Raw genomic sequence first — 20,844 nt, 5'->3', positions numbered from 1 at the left:
AAAGCCAAATGCCCTTAATAAAGCATTTTTTTCCCCTTCTGGAGAGCTTAATTTCTAGGCTTGTTCTCTCACTCCCCCAGGTGGAGAACATGAAGATGACAACGCTGTTTGGATTTGGGAAGCAGCACTTCCTTCACTGCAGGAGCACTGGAGAGTCTCTGCTTAAAACAACATACTGATAGGAACGTGTGAGGTGATTAGAGAGGACACTGTGCTAAACCAGACACCGCTGTGCCCTGCCCTTTGGCAGGTACCCAGTGTTTAAGGAAACACTGGAGACCCATCTTCGAATTGAAATATTCCAGATGAATCTTCCCTGTGATTTAGGAAAACATCACCGCATTTCATGTTGGTGGCAGACTGACTCACTCAGCTCCGCTAAGGATGCAGGTGGAAACCTTTCCACCATCACATGGCAGGGCTATAAGTTGCCATTCACCCTGCTGTTGCTTTAATGTAGGAACTTTGAGCTTCTTTCTTGAACTGGAAAATTTTAGATTTCATATCATTTGCTTGATGAGCTCTTTCTAGAATTGCATATACCGTAGCGAAGCTTTTACTGAAGAGGGAGAGGAATGCTGATCTTATCTATTGGCTTTAACCATGATACACACCCTAGGGTCCAATGTGCTTTCTGGAACTCCATAATTTTATGGTAAGCCCGTGTCTCCCTAGACGCTTTAAAGCATCTGATTTTCTCACCCAAAGCTCCAGGTGGCTCTTTACATGAAATGGGTTCCATCTTGTCCCATCCACTCAAGGACAATAAGATCTAACTGAGTGGGGGCCAAGTTACTCCCAAGTACACTGGATGTCCAGAAGCAACAGGTGCTACACTTCAAAAATGATGGAAACAGCCACTACTTCAGTTCCTAACAGGTCTTTATCTCCTCAATCCTCAACACAGTGCTCGCACAGAACAAGACATGCTCAAAACAAACCCTATCTTATAAAACATATTAAATATATATGTAGCTATGCTCTACTGAGAAACATTCCCAAAATAAATTAAGAAACACAAAGCATAAAAGATCACAGAGAAACCTTTACAGTCACTGCCACATAATGACATTTCAGATAACAACAGACTGCACAAATGATGGTGGTGCCTTAGATTGTAACACCATATTTTTATGGTATCTTTTCTATGTTTAGATATACAAATTCTTGCCATTGTGTTACAGGTGCCTACAGGGTTCAGTTAAATGACATGCTGTACAGGTGTGTAGCCTGGAGTGACAGGCTATTCCATATGCCCTAGGTGTGTAGCAGACTACCACCTAGGTTTGTGTTAAGCACATGCCATCATGTTTACAAAACAACAACATTGCCTAACAACACAGCTCTCAGAACGTACCCCCTCATTAAGTGATGCATAACTGTATTTAAATGGAAATCTTATTTTGAAGTGCTTTAATTAAAATAAGATCTTATGAGGCTATACTTTTTACCACTGACCTTTTAACCAAGATCTTATGAGACTACACTTTTTTCCACTGAATATGTAAAAGAAAACTAAGAAAAAAACCAAAATACTCTACTTTTTAAAATTTTCCCAAGACATTAGAAAAAAACCTAAGTACCATAATCTTCTGCTTTAGTATACTGTTATTTATTTAAAATGAATTACACTGAATAAAAATTCTACATTAGAGTTCCCTTATTGGATCAAAAAAGTGATAAATAAGCCTCTTAATAAACAAGTTTTTTATTGTTGTTGCTAATTTACAGTATCAGAAAAATCAGCAACCTAACTGACTTCAAGGTCTCCTTTTCAGTACTTTTAAAACCCACCAACTCAATACTTCTTGACTCTAGGCCCTAATATATATGGCAAGATCAAAGAAGACTCGAGCTCAACTGATGCCTTCAAGGACTGCATCTAGCTAGGAAGGCAAGTCACAGGGGAACGAAGGTCATCTAACACAGTGTACATGACACAGAACTGCATACAGCCAGCCGCTGGTCTAGTAAGTAATTGCTATAAGCATTTAAAATATGGAAGACACACAGTCCAAGATGGTGAGAAACAGCTTCGCTGAAGTTTCTGGATAGATGAGCTTGAGTTGGAGCTAAAAAGATGAAAGGGGCTGGGCACAGTGGCTCACGCCTGTAATCCCAGCACTTTGGGAGGCCGAGGCAGGTGGATCATGAGGTCAGGAGACCGAGACCATCCTGGCTAACACAGTGAAACCCTGTCTCTACTAAAAATACAAAAAATGAGCCGGGCGTGGTGGCGGGCGCCTGTAGTCCCAGCTACTCGGGAGGCTGAGGCAGGAGAATGGTGTGAATCCGGGAGGCGGAGCTGGCAGTGAGCGGAGATTGCGCCACTGCACTCCAGCCTGGGTGACAGAGCAAGACTCCGTCTCAAAAAAAAAAAAAAAAAGATGAAAGGATTCAGATGGCCAGCAGAGAATGGGGGTAGAGCATTCTAAAAGAGGGGTTCTCAAAGTGTGGTCTGGGGTGTGTCCCTTGACCCTTTCAGGGGTCCACAAGGTCAAAACGGTTTTTATGATAACATGAAGATGTGATTTGCCCTTTAAAGCGTCATTATGGGGAGTTTTTCACAGGCTACACATACGAAATCAGAACAGCTTGCGTGCAGGGGCAGACAGCTACCTTCGATGGAGCCGGACGTTAAACAGATTAGCAAAAACAGAGCCATGCCACTTTTCTCAGCAAATTAAAAAAAAAAATTCTTTCCACATAAATGTTTTTTATGTCAACATGTAATGGGTGTTACTGTTATTATTAGATGAACTATTTAAAAACGTTCAGCTTTAATTTCTAAGGAAAAATATCGGTAGATAGATATAACTCACTAAATAAAAGCTCTTTGGGGTGCTTGATAATTGTGAAGAGTATAAAGGAGTGATCTCCCTTCTGTGTGAGCACTCACTGCTGTTCTAAAGGAAATATAATGCTCAGATGAATATGTGCCAGGCATGGTTTGTAAGCAAATGTACATATTTTGGAAAGGTGTCTTTATAGTGCAGTGGCTCAACAGGGGGCGATTTGATCCTCCAGGAGACATTAGACAATGTCCAGACAATGTCTGGATGCATTTTGGTTGTCACAGTTGGTGGGGGCAGTGGGCCACTGGCATCCAGGGGTAAGGCCAGGGATGCTGGTGAATGTCCTACAAAGTAGAGGACCACTGGGCAGCCCCACAACAAAATATCTTGCCCCACAGTCAAGTGTTCAGATGGGAACCCTTGGTCTAGAGCAGTGGAGGTCACAAAGGAGGTACCTGGGGTCTACCGACCTTGCAGCTTGTGATGTAGGACAGGAATGGGGGCTAGAGAAGGGAGCTGCCTAAGGAAGAACCCACCACTCCCTCAAGCCTCAAGGGCAGCAAGCTCAGGACATCTGCCTCCTAACAACCCCAAAGCTCGGGAGCTGAGGCTGCGGCTGCCAGGGATGGATCCTCCCCGCAGAACCTCTTTCTGATGCCCCTGGGCTCTAAGGAAAGACCATGGGGAGGCGCTGGGAAGAGGGAGCCAAGACGTGGCAATTAAAAGCAAATGATTCCATTTACTCCATAATCATTACATATGAATTTCAAAAAGATTTTTAAAGTATTACTTCTCTTGGTCTTCTCTTTCACTCAAGTTCAGCTTAGGGTTGTATGGAAAAAAAGGTGGGAAGAGACTGATGGAAGCTAAGGCATAGGGAGGTTCTAGCGAAAGCCCCAAGCTCAGAAGTGAGCCTACAGGGGTGTCAGGGGCTCTCCTTGGAGGAGTTGTGCCGAACAAAATGACTGTCCTTGTCCTCCTCCTTACTCAGGTAAAAACTCTTGCTACAGAGACTGTGAAAAGGAGTATTTCTTGCAAAGATATTTTTCATAACAATGTTGTTAACATTTAATGGGTGTATTATTAAATATTTTTAAAATTTCAATTTTAATTTCTAAAAAAATTACCCTTCCGCCTAGCACCTATGCGACCTGAGGCGACTGTCAGTCTCCCTAGGTCTAGACCATCAGGGAGTGGTGGCACTGGAATGTAAAGGGACAGATTATAACAGGAAAAAATTTACTAAAGGTAGAAGGTGGCAAAGCTAGCTAACGAGTTGGAGAGAGGATTGTTCTTTCTCTTCAGCAACAGATATTATGTAAGAGTTGCTGTAGAGACTTTCAAACAAAACTAAGCTGAAGCAGGTGTAAAATACATGACAATACTCAAACGACCTTTAATGTGCTTAAAACGAATCACTTTACAAAAAGCATGAACACTTCTAAAAATGTAACATTGGACACAGTACACACACTTAAAAGAAACAACACCCACCTATGGTCTGATCTTACAAAATGGACTTGAGGAAACTCAGAGCAATTTATTAACATTCTAAATAATCATAAAATGTGCCTAGTTATGTTTCCACAGATTTGAAGGTTACACTGAGAACAGATGCTCAAAAGTGAGTCTCCTTTGTCAATCTCCACAGAATTTTCCAACTTCAAGTGACCCATGAGCCCGTTTTTTGCCTCTTTCCTTAAGACTTCCTATGAAATAAATCAGCAATAAGTAGTGGGAAGAAACTTTTATTTCCAGGACACGTGTGCAGAAGCAACAAGTCAAAATTAACCATTCTATCTGAAAGAGAAGAAACATGTACCAACACATGTCATTCAAGGAGTAGAAGTTTCTAGAATAAGGCAAAAGTTACAGGGCAGCAGTTATGACCTTTAATAGAACTTTGTTACACTGAAAGATACAGCCTGCCATACTTGCAGGGAAAATGTCTTTCAAGAAGGGTAACACCCAATTTCTTCCATACATTTAAAAATAGCCTAATCTTAAACTTATCAAATCATTTTAGGGATGAGAAAACAGGGTCACACAAGTTAGGTGACATCATTTATGGCAAAGCAAGAATCGGCATGTTTATTTTCTAACCCCCAAGCTGAAATATTTTCCACTGTACCACTCTACCCTATACTCCAGGACTTCATCTTTCTTACTGAAAAACCCAAACCATCAAATGTCCCCTTGTTCTACCCAAGAATTGTTCTGCAACATACGCCACCTGCTTTCTTGCTTTCTATGAGGCTGAAGACTAGACAGGCAGGAGTTTATTATACAGACCTGCCATATACTTGAAGTAGTGTGTTAAGTCAACCAGAGGCCAAGTTCTTGAATGCTTTCTCTGTTTGGATTATTTCCACGCTGTCTGGCTGCTCTGCCCTGGACAGGTCCCTGCTCTGCACATCTCTCAAGGCTGAGAAGCCCCAACTAGGGTAACTGTCCCATCAGAAGGTGAGTTCACTGGGTAATGGGAGCAACTGCTCATTGTGAAGGTGACATGATGTTAAAAGGCTTGAAAGGGGCTGCATGGTGGCTAACGCCTGTAATCCCAGCACTTTGGGATGCTGAGGCAGACGGATCACCTGAGGTCACGAGTTCGAGACTAGCCTGGCCAACAAGGTAAAACTCCGTCTCTACTAAAAATACAAAAAAAAAAAAAAAAAAAAAAAATTAGCTGGGCATGGTGGCAGGAGCCTGTAATCCCAGCTACTTGGGAGGCTGAGGCAAGAGGATCACTTGAACCCGGGAGGTGGAGGTTGCAGTGAGCCGAGACTGTGCCATTGCACTCCAGCCAGGGAACAAGAGTGAAACTCTGTCTCAAAAAAAAAAAAAAAAAGGCTTGAAAGCAGCATGGGAATGTCAAGCCTATTTAAATTGTTCAGGTTAAAATATTCAAGTTAAGAGTAATACTGAGAGAGAGGAGAGGGAAAAAGTGTGCAATAATGGTTTAATTCACCTGCATGAGTCAATCATATTTGGTAAGTGGGTGGAACTAGAAGTGAAGCAGTGAGCTGAAGACTGAGGGGAAAAAAAACAATAATAAAATTTAAGGGTCAACTCAAAGGTCAAATGAACAGAAGTGTCCCAACTTGTATTCCTGAAAAACAATTTACACAGTGATCTGCCAAGTGTCAAGCTTAATATGCCAGGTTGCCTCTGGTATCCTTATGAGGAAGCAGTGAAGGGCCCAACATTTCAGTGTTTTCAGTGGTAATTTCAAGCTCTGTAGCTCCAGCTCTTAGACAGTAGCACTAGAAAAAATACAAAAAGACAAGTGGGGCATCATACTCAGGCACTGCAGGCCACACCGCAGGTCTCACACGGCTGGCAAACTGCTTTCAAAACACACATTTCACATAGTAGTGATTTTGGTATCTTTGAACTACTGAGATTTTTCAGGTTTAAACTTAACATTATTCATCCTTACAGCCAGGATCTTCCCACTAAAAATAGAAATAAATGATATATACACACTGATGCTCCTTTGTATAAGGAATATAGCTAAAGTAAGAGGATATAGGCACATTAGCAAGAAAGCTCTGGGGAGAAGAAATCTTAGCAGTTTTAATGAAAGATCAAAAGACCAAAAAAAAAAAAAAAAAAGGCATATAGCATATACCTTCATAAAGCACCTACATTTCATCTTCATCGAAATGAATTTAGTCAAAAGGGTGACAGGGAAGAAAGAAACAAGTCAAATCCCAGCATGGCACAGTAAACCTCAGTTGTCTGCTATAAAGACAGGGAGGGACAGACTGGCACAAATGATCCTAACTATTGACATTTAAGGAATCTTTTGGATTTCTGCTTTTTGCTTTGGGGAGGGCAACAGATTTGCTGGAATAAACCACCTGCTGAAGAGGAGGGAGGTTCAGAATACACCAAATGATAGAAAAGAGAGAATGCAGGGCTAAAAAAAAGTCCACTGCAGATCATCGCCAGTTAACTGTGTTTCCCAGACAGAACTGAACTCATTCTAATTTGGCTTACAGGAAGAAGTCTGACACTGGCAAATAAACGTCATTTGTGATAAGACTGGGGCTTCAATGATCCAGTTCTGGATAACTGACACTCTATTAACCCAATTATGTGCTACCCATGGATTCAAAAGGACCTACTGGCTCTGCCTGGGTCCACGCAGCTCCTGGACCCTTGGCCCTAGGTGCTCTAGTTCAACAATTAGTCACAAGGAAGAAAAGGCAAAGGAAAGTGGTGACTCTGCAAATCCTCTGAAGGCACTTCACGGTGTGAAGGAACAGCATCAACCTTGGTCAAGTAGATGCAATGCTCACTTGGCATTCCAGCTGTTCCTCAATGAGGCCAAAGCCAAGAAGCAAAGAAATTTACAAGTGGCCGACGCGCAAGTGCGCGCGCCCACACACACACACACACACACACACAATGTGAACAATAATAAAATACCAAAACTAGGTAAATTTTTTCAAATACCAACATTATTGGAGAAAGAGGCCAAGGGACCGTCAACAGAAATAGGGAGCTAGCCCAGGACGTCAGTAGCAGAGGTGGTTTGAAGGAAAACAAGGTGATGGAAGAAAAAGAACTAACCACTGAGTTGCCTGGCAGCTTGCAATGGAAGTGGCGGTGGGGAGATGACCCTAAAGCTAAAAGCAACATAGCAACACCATAGACTGCATAAGACCAATCTATACAGGAGGGTTGCTGGGTTTGAGGTGTGGGAAATGAACTTAAAAATACCAGATCCAGGATGGGCACGGTGGCTCAGGCCTGTAATCCCAGCACCTTAGGAGGCCAAGGTGGGCGGGTCACGAGGACAGGAGTTCAAGACCGGCCTGACCAACCTGGTGAAACCCCGTCTCTAATAAAAATACAAAAATTAGCCGGGCGTGGTAGCGGGTGCCTGTAATCCCAGCTACTCAGGAGGCTGAGGCAGGAGAATTGCTTGAACTCGGGAGGCAGAGGTTGCAGTGAGCCAAGATCGCGCCACTGCACTCCAGCCTGGGTGACAGAGTGAGACTCTATTAAAAAAAAAAAAAAATTTGTTGGGTGTGGTGGCATGTTCCTGTGGTCCCAGCTACTTGGGAGGCTGAGGTAAGAGGATCACTTGAGCCTGGGCGGCAAGGGGTAGCAGTGAGCAGAGATTGCGCCACTGCACTCCAGCCTGCGTGACAAAGTGAGACCCCGTCTCAAAAAAATAAAAAACAAAAAAAACCCCAAAAGACCCACAAACAAACCCCATAGGCAAGCACAATTTTCATAAAATCATTAATAGTTTTCCAAAGCAAAACAGTAAATACCTAAACAACTAAAATTGAGGGTTATAAAAGACACCACAAAAAAAAAACCTCACATAGGGAAACATTTTAGAAGATTCTAGGCTTTATCACTCTCGGTTTTTCTACCTGAAGTTAAAAGCTGTGTATAAAATACAAAGTCAATATTTGATGACAGTTACCTCTGATTCTACTGTGTCTTGTCCTTCTTTTGAACTTTTTCCACTCTTCCCTGCTTTTGGTGATTCCTGGTAAACATCAAGCAAAGTCAATTAGTCTTCTCACTTTTTAGACAGGTAAACATCAGATAAGCCAAATGCAGTTTTAAAAGTGATTTATACAACTACAGCTTCTGATATTTTTAATTCATACCATTAGGAAATTCTATATCATACCGTTTAGGATTCCAACAGTGCAATGCCCCCCAACCCCCATTCAGATTCTTTTCGTTTTATCTGCATTTGAGGTTGAAAACTTCAAGCAGAAAACAGATAAATCCAATTTTATACAGTGCTTCTGGCATTTTGAGATCCACATCACATCCCTTTCTACCCTCCCACCCTAAACCCTATGAGTGAGGATTTCTGGGGTGATAATGAAACGCTACAGAGCTCCACCTGAAGCAGAAACATACCCGCCCCCCCGAATGCAAACGCAGCACCCTTGCTCGCAGCCCTCACCGCCGCCGCCACCCAGGATAATAATAGTGTTCGAGAGCCCCAGAGCGTCCCTCCGGGGCGGCAGAGAATTCCTTACCAGCTCTCAGCGGGGTCCCTTCTCGCTCCCTTTCCCCCGTACAGGGGTCCCTCCCCAGGCGTCTACAGCCCCCATCCCTGAAGCTCCTTTCCGGGAGCCTGCGAGGCTGCGAACCCCCTCGGCGGCCGCACCTGCCCGCCCAAGCCCACGGCGCGCTGTCGGAAACGGGCGCCCCTCCGACCCCCTCCCCGGGCCGCGCCCTCCCTCCACGCCCAGCCCCGGCCCATCACGAAGGTCCCAGCGGCCCGGGCCTGCGCCCCGCGGCTCCGGCGCGATCCCCGGGCTCCCCGCCCCCACCGGGCATGAGGCCGAGAGAAGCCCGGGGATGCCTGGCTCGGCCGCCCTCGGGGACGCGAAGCCCGCGGCGTCAGGCGGGGAACTGAGCCGGGGCCCGGGCGCAGGACCCCGGTGCCGTCGCGCCCTCCCCCGGCAGTCCCTCCCTGCTCCCTCCGTCCCGCGGCCGGGCCCGGACTCACTTTCTCCTTCTTGTTTTTATTCGGCATGGCTGGAGCGGGCCGCCGCCGCCGCCGCCGCCCCTGCCGCCGCCTGCCCCCGCAGCAGCAGCGCCCCCGCCCCGGCCGTCGCGCCCCCGCGGCCGCCGCCGCCGCCGCCGCCCGGGGACTGAGTCTTTCGCTTGCTCTCGCTTCCCCTTTTCCAGACTCCCAGAGGCTGCGGCAGCCACGGCGGCGGCGGCGGCGGCGGCGGCGGCAGCGGCGGCGTCTCTCCGCCCCTCCCCCGGCCGGCCCGCCCCGCCCCTCTCCTCCCACCCCCCGGCCGGCCGCCCCGCCCCGCCCGCCGCTCGCCCCACCCCCGCGCCCGGCCCCGCCCCGCTGCACTCAACAGCGCCCTGCCATTGGTCGACGCGCCCCCACGTACCCTAACGCTCCCCGCTCCCCCCACCCTCTCCGCGCGACCCGTTCACGCCCCCGCCCTCCGTCCCGAGTCGCTGCGAGCCGGCCTCAGGCAGGCCGCGGCCTCCTGGCGCGGGGCTGACCGCTGAGCAGAGCTGAGCCGACTCAGGGGAGGGAGCATGTGGCTGCGACTGCGGTGACAGGGCCGTGGCCCGCTGTGGAGGCGCAAGACAGAGCGTGAGACGTAGGAAATGCACATTTGAAATGTATGGCAACAACTTCTGCAGCCGGCGAAACGCGAACCGTGGCCTCTTGGCCTTGCCCCCTCACCGCCGCGGCTCTCGTTGCAGTCAAGAGTGCCTGGCACGCTTTGCACTGAGGCGCACGGGGAGGCCCGGGAACCGAGCGAGCGGCAGTTTCGCGGGACACCGCTGGGCCCCGCCTCCCCTCCCTTCCCTCCCCTCCCCTTCCCTCCTCTCCCTCCACTCCCCTCCCCTCCGTCCCCTCCCCTCGACCACCCCGTCCCCTGCCCTCCCCTTCTCTCGACCAGCCCGTCCCCTGCCCTCCCCTCCCCTCCCCTCGACCAGCCCGTCCCCTCCCCTCCTCTTCCCTCGGCCAGCCCCTCCCCTCGGCCAGCCCTTCCCCTCGACCAACCCCTCTCCTCGACCGGCCCCTCCCCTCGACCGGCCCCTCCCCTTGGCCGGGCCCTCCCCTTGACCGGCCCCTCCCCTCGACCGGCCCCTCCCCTCGGCCGGCCCCTTCCCTCGGCCAGCCCCTCCCCTCGACCAGCCCCTCCCCTCGACCAGCCCCTCCCCTCACCAGCTCAGCTTTCCGCAGCTCCTCCCGCGAGGTCCCGCCCATCCGACAGCCCGCCCCTCCCTGGTTGGTCCCGCCCTCCGCAGTTTCTCCCGCAAGGTCCCGCCTACCCGACAGTCCCGTCCTTTCCTGGTTGGTCCCGCCCTCCGCAGCTTTTGCCGCGAGGTCCCACCCACCCGACAGCCCCGCCCCTCTCCAGTCGGCCCCGCCCTCCGCAGCTCCTTCCGCGAGGTCACGCCCACATGCGCAGCCCCTCTCCTCCGGCGTCGGCCCCGCCCACCGAGGCGAGGCCTCAAAGACTTGGTGGCCGCTGCGCCAATAGGATTTTATTTTTATTCTTTAATTTGGCTTGATCATAAATGGTGAGGAAACCTCTGCATGACTGGGAGTCACCTGATTTCTCTCAGCTTGTTAATAGCTGTGAGGAGAGGGTGTCCAAGGGAAAAACGTTAACTTTTCAATACAATACTTCCGCGGTCCACCTCGTGCCCAAAACTATTGAAGACGCTAAGGACAGGCGTCCCAGATTGCAGAAATGCATTAGGTAGTAAGACTCTAGGAGCGTACGGATTTCACGTGCGAGAGGCATTGGTGCTTCACCTGTGATGATGAAGGAGCTGCATCTTAACTGGCAGCTTAAAAATCATCGCGTTCTCTTAGCCCCCGGAGTTTTGTTCTTGGAAGTTTCCAGGCAAAGCATTTTCCATTATTCTCAGCAGTTCTGCAATGAGAAAGCTGAAAGACGGGGTAAGAAAAAAAAGATCTAAAGGGAGGAATGTTGTGGGAGGTCCAGAAAGTAAGTTCTGTCTGCGGGTATCTGAATGTCTGCCGGCTCTTAGACGAATATCTGTAGGTAAGCAGGACAGTCTCAACTATTTGTGCGGAATAAGTGGCTTTTTTATTAATAATTTAAGTGGGTTAATGGTGTCTCCAAAACAATTTTGAGGATAGAGCGATGCCCCTAGTTAACTTAATAACATTTTAAAAATAAAATATGTGCTGTCAATTTAATAAGTCCAGGATATATCCATATCAAAAAGGAGTAGCTCTGAAACTATTGGTTTATGGCCATGAACTCTTAGGGAGGCTTAGAGGCATCTCTGAGACAATCCTTTGCCACCCAAATCCTTGTATCATATCTCCTGATCCGGTGTTGCATACAATTCATTCATTCGACCCACATTTGTTGGATAACTACTATGTGCAAAGCATGATGCCAGAAATTTCATGGTGAACAAGGCACTACCCTTGTCCTCAAGCAGTTCACATGCTTGCATGGAAATAGAAAAAACCAGCAATCAGAAGGACATGACATGTGACAAGTCTACAGGACTGGGGTGAGGGGGGTCAGGCTTGGAAGCATGACAGAGCACTGCACAGGACGTTTTGTTATGGCCGGAGATGAGACTGAAGGAACAGCGACGCTGAATTAAGACTGGTAGACCTTGCCAAGATATTGTACTTCTTTTTGAATGCATTTCAGGGTCACTGACAGATACTGAAGTGGGGAGTGATGTACTCACATTTGCATTTTAGAAGACATCGGTGGCAGGAGTGTGGAGGAGGTGAGGGTGGAAGTAAAAGCAGGAGGCAGAAAGAGCAATCAGCATCCAGCTATGGTTCAGGTGCGTGCCAGGGAGGCATCTCCACAGCAACGGGGGGAAGGATCGCCGACGCGACAGAGAGCCAGAATCGAGGATAAAAAGCGAATGCTCATGCTTGTAGTTTGGGCAACACAGTGAATGATGAGGAAGGGATGCAAGTGGAGGGCAGGTTTGCAAGGGAACAAGATTCCAGTTTGGGACACGTTGCTGTGTCCGCAAAATGTAGGTAGAGGTGTCCAAGATGGCAACTGGAAATATAGCATAGAGGACTAGTTGCATGTCAGGTTAGAGGTTTCTCAGGTCAGTTTAGAGTTTTAGGGAAAGCATAGGGACAGGGTACAAGCAAAGCTGCCTGATTAACATCCAGTGACCTTGAAACCATAGCAACCAGAGAAATCTGACTCAACACCATTACCTGTACAACTGCATGTGTACGTCACTGGCCATTGGACTGGCTTCATTTGCCCACATTAGGGAGGACCATCTTTAAGGACAGTTAGTTACCGACTACCCGTAGAACACACTGGGTTTCATGCAGTGTCTTAGGTGCTGTGGTATTTACAGGAACGCTAAAGATAGATATAGCTCCTGCTCCCAAAAGAAGGGATTCAGGACAAGCTATTGAGATAGGATATAAAGCCATTATGTGGGTGTGTGTGTGTGTGTGTGGCTGAGGGTTACCTCTTCCAGGATGGCCCCACATTCCATGTTCATGAAGGCACTGCTCGCATCACACAAAACTCCTTTTCTTCCAACCCCTGCTCCTCTGGGACACTTTTTTGAGATGGTCCCTGATATAGTTAGGATATTTATCCCCACCCAAATCCATGTTGAAATGTAATCACCGATGGGAGGTGGGCCTGCTGGGAAGTGTTTGAATCACGGAGGAAGATGCCTCATGAATGGCTTGGGCCATCCCCTTGGTGATAAGTGAGCTCTCGCTTGGAGTTCACATGAAATTTAGTTATTTAAAAGTATGTGGCACCTCCCCCCACCTTGAGCCTGCTTTCACCATGTGAAGTGCCTGCTCCCCCTTCGCCTTCCACCATGAACGAAAACTCCCTGAGGCTTCACCAGAAGCTGAGCAGATGCTAACACCAGGCTTCCTGTACAGCCTGCAGAACCATGAGCCAATTAAACCTCTTTTCTTTATAAATTACCCAATCTCAGGTATTTGTATATAGTGATGCAAGAATGGACTAATACAGTCTCTAAAAACCCAAACATACTTTTTCCATGTCTGTCTTCTCTGTATGTTGGATTGCTTTATTTGTGCCCCTGAGGTCTCTGGAGGATCAGAGAGGTTCCCAGAGGACTGAGGTCTTTGACCTCACTGCAGCCACCAGCCGCAGCCCTACACTGTTCACTGCTTCACTCTGGATACCATCAGTGGCACATATGAGCAGGGCAGAGAGAAGATGGCCCTTGACTGAGAATCAGCCCCGCACCCTTCCCTGCGTCTGCCCTCAGAAGCCCTTCCTGCGTCTTCTCTGTGAAGATGCCTGCAGCACAGTAGGCCCTGCCTGCTCCTCTGAGGCTGGTGTAGAGCTGCCCTGCCTGCCAGGCTGCAGCTTTGGTCACCCTGCCCAGAAAGCCTTCTCTCTTGGCTCTCACAGACCCCGGCTTGTGGGCTTAGGTTTCTTCATGTCATTCCTAGGCCTTCTGGGCATCCAGGCAGTCTTGCATACTTGGATATTCAGCTGAGCTTCCTAGGGGCAGTGATCATGTCTTAGGCATTCTGTGTTACTCAGTGCCTAGCATTTGAAGAAACTAATTCTAGCTGGGTGTGGTGGCTCACGCCTATAATCCCAGCACTTTGGGAGGCCAAGGCGGGAGGATTGCTTGAGCCCAGAAGTTCAAGAGCAGCCTGGGCGTGGTGGCACGCGTCTGTGGTCCCAGCCACTCAGGAAGCTGAGGCAGGAGGATTGCTTGAGCCATCACTGCAGATGGAGGCTGCAGTGAGCCGTGATCATGCCGCTGAACTCCAGCCTGGGTAACAGAGCGAGACACTGTTGCATCTCAGACTTGTTTCTGACTTTATGCCGCCTTTCTTTAACTGCTGTCTTTCTCCAGCTTTGTGGTGTGCTTATGGGCCCTCCTCTGTCTGTGTCACTAGCTCCCCCAGGTGCTCAGCCCCTCCTCCTCACCTCTCCTGGCCCAGGGCTACCTGGATTGGGTAGTGACTTCCTTTCAGGCATCCCTGAGGCCTCCCCGAAAACTAGATGTTCATCACATCTACTCCTCCCAACTTTCCTCACTTCCTTTCCATGAAAATGTCATGAAACACGCATTTTGTACTGAATTTGTATCTATTTATTCATGCACCAGACTCCTTCCACTACAAATTTGCCTGCAGAGTTGGAGTAGAGAGTATGTTAAGTCAGATTACATTTGAATTAATTATCCATATATTAAGAGTGCGGATCACACTCTAGGCACGTATCAAGCACTCAGTAAGTTTAACAAGTGGACCATGATTTGAAGTGAGGTGCCATTCGGTTCTGAGGAGTCCAAGAAAATACCCAAAAGTTAGTATTTTCAGGCCCAAGGGCACCCAGAGAGCTTATTAGACTAAGCCGGGCATCTTGTTTGGCCCCTGTAGAGCTCTGAAAAATGCCGTGAGCCAGTTAGTCCCCAACAGCTGAGAGTAATGCCACGAGTGCCTGGAGTACTTTCCCAATGAGATCCAAAAGGTAGAAAGAAATCTGTGAAAGTTTCCAAAACTGAAAATTTCATAGATTATTCTAAAAACTGTGAAAGTTCAAAATAATTCTAAAAATATCTTAATAAAATTTTGTATCCAAGTATTGAAGAAAAATGGAAAACAACACAAAATAATTCATTTTCATATAAATGGAGTGAAATACAATCCCTTTCTTTTTTCCTCCCAAATCCCTAAGTCCAGTGGAGGAGATAAGATGGGACAGAAATAACTTAACCCAAGGTGGTGGGAGAAGCACACCGTAAGAGCATTAGCGAGCAGGATTAGGGGCTTTCAGAGAGGGGAGACGTATTCAATAGAGCAGCAGAGAGCTTGCTGGAAGGGAGGGTGTGGATAATCAGCTGCAGCGTGTTCAAGTGCTGACTTTTAGTTCTTGTCCTAAGTTTGGGGTGATTGGTTTTAACAGGCTGGAACAGATGAGCCAGTCAGAAGTGTTTAATTGGAAATAAATGAATGAAAGGTCCATGCACAGAGGCATGCAAGGGTCACACCAGGGACGAGGCAGTGGGAAGCAGGCAGGGGCTGTGGCTGTGGGAGCTGTCCTTGTTCCCAGGCCTCACTGGGCAGGGGGAGGCAGAGGTCATGCCAGAGCCTGGTGTAGCCAACTCATTGTCATAGTCCCCATCGGTGTGCAGGGAGGGGGGCCAGGACAGGTGAAGACACACCCCACCCTCTTGCTTCTCCCCTCCTCTCTCTCACCAGTGGCTCCCATTTTGCTGACCCACTTGAGCCAGAGGGCCAGGAAGCCCAGCGAGCCCAGCGAGGCATCCCTTGATGTCCTGCTCTAGGGAGGAGAAGGGTGAGGAGTGGCTGTCAAGGGGGCCTTAGGTGGAGAATAACTTGGTGTCATGGTGGAATGGGAGATCTGGAATTAGAAGACTTGGGTTTGTGCAGACTCTGTGTGAGTCTCAAAACTTTTAACCTAATGGTTCTGAAACGGGTGATTCTGCCCCCCAGGGGTCATTGGTGATGTCTGGAGACATTTTTGGTTGTCACAACTGGGTGGGTAGGGAGGGCTACTGGCATCTAGTGGGTAGAAGCCAGGGATGCCACTATACATCCAACAATGCACAGGACAGCCACACACAACAGAATCCTCTGGCCCAAAAGATAATAGTGCTGAGGTGGAGAACCCCTGTCTAAACTCACGAAAAGCAGATATGACACAACCTGCCCTGCCCTCTCTGCTGGTTACCAAGAGCATCACAGAAGACAGTGGGCATGAAAGCCAGAACTGTACCACAGACTTCATGTAAGGAGAATTTCTTGATCTGGATGGAACTCCACAGTTTGCTGAATGCACTTCACTGCCTCTCCCCCCACACCCTGCCATTGTCGTCTTTCCTGCCCTTTGTGTGGAGAAAGAGACAACCTCCACTGCATCTTCAAAAGAGAGCAGCGCCCTGCTCCAGTGAGCAGGATTCTCTTCCAGGTCACTACTCCATCCTGCGAGACCTGAAGAGATTGCCTTTCTGCATGAACTGGCATCCAAGTTATAACAGAGAACTAATGAGACTGCCTTTAATTTTGTAAAATTATGACAAAATACATACAGCATAAAATTTACTATCTTAACCTTTTTAAGTGTACAGTTCTAAGATGTTAAATACATTCACATTGTTGTGCAAACATCATCACCATCCACCTACAGAACTTTCATCTTCCCAAACTCATATCTGTTCCAACCGAACCGCTCCTCATTGCCCCTCTCCAGCCCCTGGCAACCACCATTCTACTTTCTGTCTCAATGACTGACTACTCCAGGTGCCTCAAATGTGGAATTATGCAGTATTTGTCCTTTTGCGATTGGCTTATTTCACTTAGCATAATATCCTCAAGGTTCATCCATGTTGTAGCATGTGTCAGAATTTCCTTCCTTTTTAAGGCTGATATTCCATTGTATGAATATTCATGTATTGTATTGTTTATTCATTCATCTGTAGGTGGACACTTTGGATGCTTCCACCTCTTGGCTATTGTGAACAATGCTGCTATTGTAGCAGGGCAAGCCACAGGCAAAACTCCTCAGACACCAGATTAAAGAAGGAAGAGGTTTATTTGGCTGGGAGCATTGGCAGACTTACATCTTAAGAGCCGAGCTCCTGGAAAAAGAAATTCCTGGCCTTTTTAAGGGCTTACAACTCTAAGGGGTACATGTGAAAGGGTCGTGATAGGTCAAGCAAGCGTGGGCAATGTGACTGGGGGCTACATGCATCAGCTAACAGAACCAAAAGTTTTACAGTACTTTCTCATACAATGTCTGGAATTTACAGCTAACACAAGTAGTTTTGGTCAGGGGTTAATATTATTATTATTATTTTAACCACCAGGGCCAGGTGGTAGCGCCAAGGTCATCTAGCTATTTATCTTACTTCTGTTTCTTTCCAACTTTTTGCTTTCTCCTTTTTCTCCTGTCTTATAAACTAGGGAAACGGGGATGGGGGGTGTGGAAAAGATGAGAAGGTCAGCAGGAGAAGTAGTGGTCTAATTCCATACTATTAACATGGGTGTGCAAATATGTCTTTGAGACCCTGCTTTCAATTCTTTTGGGTATATAACCCTGGATTAGTTTATTCTCACACTACTATAAAGAACTGCCTGAGACTGGGTAATTTATAAAGAAAATAGATTTAATTGACTCACAGTTCTGCAGGCTGTACAGAAGGCATGGCTATGGGGGGTGGGGGCACCTCACAAAACTTACAATCATGGCAGAAGGGTGAAGGGGAAGCAAGCACGTCTTCACATGGTGGCAGGAGAGAGAGAGAGAAGGGGGAGGTGCTACACACTTTTAAACAACCAGATCTCGTGAGAACTCACTATCACAAGAACAACAAGGGGGAAATACAACCCCATGAGTCAATCACCTCCCACCAGGTCCCTCCTCCAACATGTGGGGATTACAGTTTTACATGAGATTTGGGTAGAGACACAGAGCCAAACCGTATCATACCCAGAAGTGGAATTCTTCAATCATATGGTAATTCTATTTTTAATTTTTTGAGGAGCCTCCATATTATTTTCTATAGAGCCTGCACCATTTTATATTGCTACCAACCATATACAAGGTTCCCCTTTCTCCACATCCTCACCAACACTTGTTATGTTTTGTTTTTTCAGTAGTAGCCATCCTAATAGGTGTGAGATGATATCTCATTATGGTTTTGATTTGTATTTCCATAATGATTAGTGATGTTGAGCATCTTTTCATATGCTTTTTGGCCACTTGTATATCCTCTTTGGAGGAATGTCTATTCAAGTCCTTTGCCTATTTTTAAATTGGGTTATTTGTTTTTTCTTCCTGCTGTTGTTGTTGTATTGTAGTAATTCTTTATATATTCTGGATATTAATTCCTTATCAGATATATGATCTACAAATATTTTCTCTCCTATTCTGTAGGTTGCCTTTCAGTCTGTTAATTATATCCTTTGATTTACAGGAATTTTAAATTTTGATGTAGTCCAATTTATCTATTTTTACTTTTGTTACCTGTGCTTTTGGTGTCAAATCCAAGAAATCATTGCCAAATCCAATGTCATGAGGCTTTTCCCCTATGTTTTCTTCTAAGAGTTTTACAGTTTTAGCTCCCATATTTAGGTCTTTGGTTCATTTTGAGTTGATTTTTGTGTATGGTATAGGGTAAGGGTCCAACTTCATTCTTTTGCATTGCATATCCAATTTTCACAGCACCATTTGTTGAAGAGACTGTCCTTTCCCCATTGATTGGTCTTGGCACCTTTTTCAAAAATCATTTGACATTTTGTTTCTGTGCTCTCTATTCTATTACATTGGTCTATATATCTGTCTTTATCCCAGTACCACACTGTTTTGATGTCTGTAGTATGTTTTGAAATCAGGAAGTGTGAGTCCTCCAACTTTGGTCTTCTTTTCCAAGACTGTTGTGGCTATTCAGCATCCCTTTAGATTCCATATGAATTTTAAGGTGGAGTTTTCCTCTGCAAAAACTGCCATTAGAATTTTGGTATGAATTGCATTAAATATATAGGTCACATTGGGTAGCATGAACACCTTAACTATTAAGCCTTCCAAACTCATGAACACAGGATGTATTTCCATTTAGTTGTCTTTAATTTTTTTCAGCAACATTTTGTAGTTTCCAGTGTACAAGTCTTTTGCCTCCTTGGTTAAGTTTATTCCTGATAATTTTATTCTTTTTATGCTGTTGTAAATGGAATTGTTTTCTTAATTTCCCTTTTGGATTCTTCATTTTTAGTGTAAGAAACACAACTGATTTTGTGGGTTGATTTGGTATCCTGCAACTTTGCTGAACTCATTGATTAGTTCTAACAGGATTTGTTTTATGTGTTTGTGTGTGTGTCTGTGTGTGTGTGTGTGTGTGTGTGTGTGTGTGTAATCTTATCATCTGCAAGTGGAAACAATTTTACTTCTTCCTTTCCAATTTGGATGCCTTGATTTCTTTTTCTTGTTTAATTGTTCTGTGTAGGACTTCCAGTGCTATGTTGAATAACAGTGGCAAAATAAGCATCTTTACCTCATTTCTAATCCTAGAGGAAAAACTTTCAGTCTTTCACCATTAAGTATGATGTTAGTTGTTGGCTGTTTATGTACAACCCTCATTATATTGGGGTGGTTTTCTTCTAATCCTAGTTTATTGGGTGTTTTTTTTTATAATGAAAATATGTTGAATTTTAGCAAATGCCTTTTATGCACCAATTGAGATAATCATGGGGTTGTTTTCCTTCATTCTGTTAATGTAGTGTGTTACAGTGATTGATTTTTGTATGTTGAACCATTCTTGCATTCCAAGAATAAATCCCATTTGGTCATGGGGTATAATCCTTTTAATGTGCCGTTGAATTCTGTTTGCTAGTATTTTATTGAGGCTTGTTGCACTGATATTCATCAGAGATATTGGTCTGTAGTTTTCTTTCTTTATAATGTCTTTGTCTGAATTTAGTATCATGCTAGCTTCATAGAATGAGCTACGAAGTGTTCCCTCCTCTTCAATTTTGTGGAAGAGTTTGAGGAGGGTTTGTGTAAATTCCTTAAATGTTTGGTAGAATTCACCAATGATGCCATCTAAGCCTGAGTTTTTCATTGTTGTGAGGCTTTTGATTACTGATTCAATGAGGCTGCCTTCTTAGAATGAATGTTATAAATTTTATGGCCAAACAAATTTCCTTTTTGAGGAATAGTTCTTTACTTTGGAAGGTGATGTACCTTTTATAACTATGTGCTTTTCTCAGATTTTTAGAGTATCTTTTTGGAATAATAAGTTTTGATGACTTTATTGCCCTAGTTTGTTGCTATTACTTCACTTCATTGCCAGTTTGCTTTCTTTTTCTAGACAGAGTCTCGCTCTGTCGCCCAGGCTGGATTGCAGTGGCATGATCTGAGCTCACTATAGCCTCTGCCTCCCGGGTTCAAGTGATTCTCTTGCCTCAGCCTCCTGAGTAGCTGGAATTACAGCTGGAATTACAGGCGTGCACCATTACGCCTGGCTAATTTTTGTATTTTTAGTAGAGATGGGGTTCTGCCATGTTGGCCAGGCTGGTCTCGAACTCCTGGGCTCAAGCAATCCACCTGCCTCAGCCTCCCAAAGTGCTAGGATTACAGGCATGAGCCCTGTGTTCGGTGCTGCTGTCTTAAACAGAAGTAAACCCAGACATTAGTCTCTACCTTATGCAACTTGACACACATTACTCTTGGCTCTTGTAGATATCAAATCCAGACTTGAAGATGAAAATTTCCTACAATTTCAGGTATGTAACAGCATGTGCTACAGGCTTGTAAATGAGTTCTAACTCACAGTAAATTAGCTTATGACTAACAACAGATGGGTCCAGTCCCAAAACCTACATTCTAATGGGGGAAGACAAACTGTAAATTTGTAAACAGTTGAGAAAGATCATTTCAGACAGTGATATGCTATGAAAACAGAAACAAGTGGGTAATGGTTTGGCCTATGCTGTCTATTATGCTAGCCACTTGCCACATAGACATTTACTTTTCAATTAGTGAAAATGAGAGATTCTGTTCCAAGATGGCTGAAT

The 20,844-nt window shown here is 46.1% G+C and overlaps 1 protein-coding gene and 1 long non-coding RNA gene across 11 annotated transcripts in view, besides 7 other annotated features; both read right to left on the bottom strand.

Moving 5' to 3' along the window:
• The window catches only part of PPP2R5C (protein phosphatase 2 regulatory subunit B'gamma), a 167,420-nt gene extending 156,781 nt beyond the window's left edge, over positions 1-10,639 (bottom strand). For 3 of the 10 annotated variants that reach the window (XM_005267819.2, XM_005267824.2, NM_001352914.2), the window contains exons 1-2: positions 10,486-10,639; positions 8,242-8,307 (exon numbers count right to left, since the gene is read on the bottom strand). In XM_005267819.2, coding sequence (XP_005267876.1) covers positions 8,242-8,307; positions 10,486-10,527 — 108 coding nt within the window. In that variant the 5' untranslated portion in view covers positions 10,528-10,639. Of the gene's footprint in view, positions 1-8,241; positions 8,308-8,815; positions 8,843-9,291; positions 9,504-10,485 lie in introns of those variants that run through there. The other 7 variants (NM_001352913.2, NM_001161726.2, NM_001161725.2 and 4 more) reach the window with 4 other exon arrangements.
• On the bottom strand, positions 4,163-7,133 carry LOC107984658 (uncharacterized). Its single transcript, XR_001750901.1, has 2 exons — positions 6,926-7,133; positions 4,163-6,058 (listed from the first exon to the last, which is right to left on the bottom strand). It is a non-coding gene; the product is annotated as an uncharacterized LOC107984658 (long non-coding RNA).
• Positions 8,868-8,937: a silencer, noted in NCBI's record as "silent region_6102". NCBI's record gives its function as "represses an Ori minimal core promoter by ATAC-STARR-seq in GM12878 lymphoblastoid cells {active_cell/tissue: GM12878}" and the evidence as "EXISTENCE:reporter gene assay evidence [ECO:0000049][PMID:35858748]".
• Positions 8,988-9,207: a silencer, noted in NCBI's record as "silent region_6101". NCBI's record gives its function as "represses an Ori minimal core promoter by ATAC-STARR-seq in GM12878 lymphoblastoid cells {active_cell/tissue: GM12878}" and the evidence as "EXISTENCE:reporter gene assay evidence [ECO:0000049][PMID:35858748]".
• Positions 9,348-9,587: a silencer, noted in NCBI's record as "silent region_6100". NCBI's record gives its function as "represses an Ori minimal core promoter by ATAC-STARR-seq in GM12878 lymphoblastoid cells {active_cell/tissue: GM12878}" and the evidence as "EXISTENCE:reporter gene assay evidence [ECO:0000049][PMID:35858748]".
• Positions 9,598-9,757: a silencer, noted in NCBI's record as "silent region_6099". NCBI's record gives its function as "represses an Ori minimal core promoter by ATAC-STARR-seq in GM12878 lymphoblastoid cells {active_cell/tissue: GM12878}" and the evidence as "EXISTENCE:reporter gene assay evidence [ECO:0000049][PMID:35858748]".
• Positions 10,218-10,267: a silencer, noted in NCBI's record as "silent region_6098". NCBI's record gives its function as "represses an Ori minimal core promoter by ATAC-STARR-seq in GM12878 lymphoblastoid cells {active_cell/tissue: GM12878}" and the evidence as "EXISTENCE:reporter gene assay evidence [ECO:0000049][PMID:35858748]".
• Positions 10,328-10,477: a silencer, noted in NCBI's record as "silent region_6097". NCBI's record gives its function as "represses an Ori minimal core promoter by ATAC-STARR-seq in GM12878 lymphoblastoid cells {active_cell/tissue: GM12878}" and the evidence as "EXISTENCE:reporter gene assay evidence [ECO:0000049][PMID:35858748]".
• Positions 10,548-10,657: a silencer, noted in NCBI's record as "silent region_6096". NCBI's record gives its function as "represses an Ori minimal core promoter by ATAC-STARR-seq in GM12878 lymphoblastoid cells {active_cell/tissue: GM12878}" and the evidence as "EXISTENCE:reporter gene assay evidence [ECO:0000049][PMID:35858748]".

The sequence above is a fragment of the Homo sapiens genome, chromosome 14 (genome assembly GCF_000001405.40).
Source record: "Homo sapiens chromosome 14, GRCh38.p14 Primary Assembly".
Taxonomy (NCBI): Eukaryota; Metazoa; Chordata; class Mammalia; order Primates; family Hominidae; genus Homo; species Homo sapiens.
The sequence above is the reverse complement of the archived record's forward strand: the minus strand, read 5'-3'. Positions and strand labels throughout refer to the sequence as shown.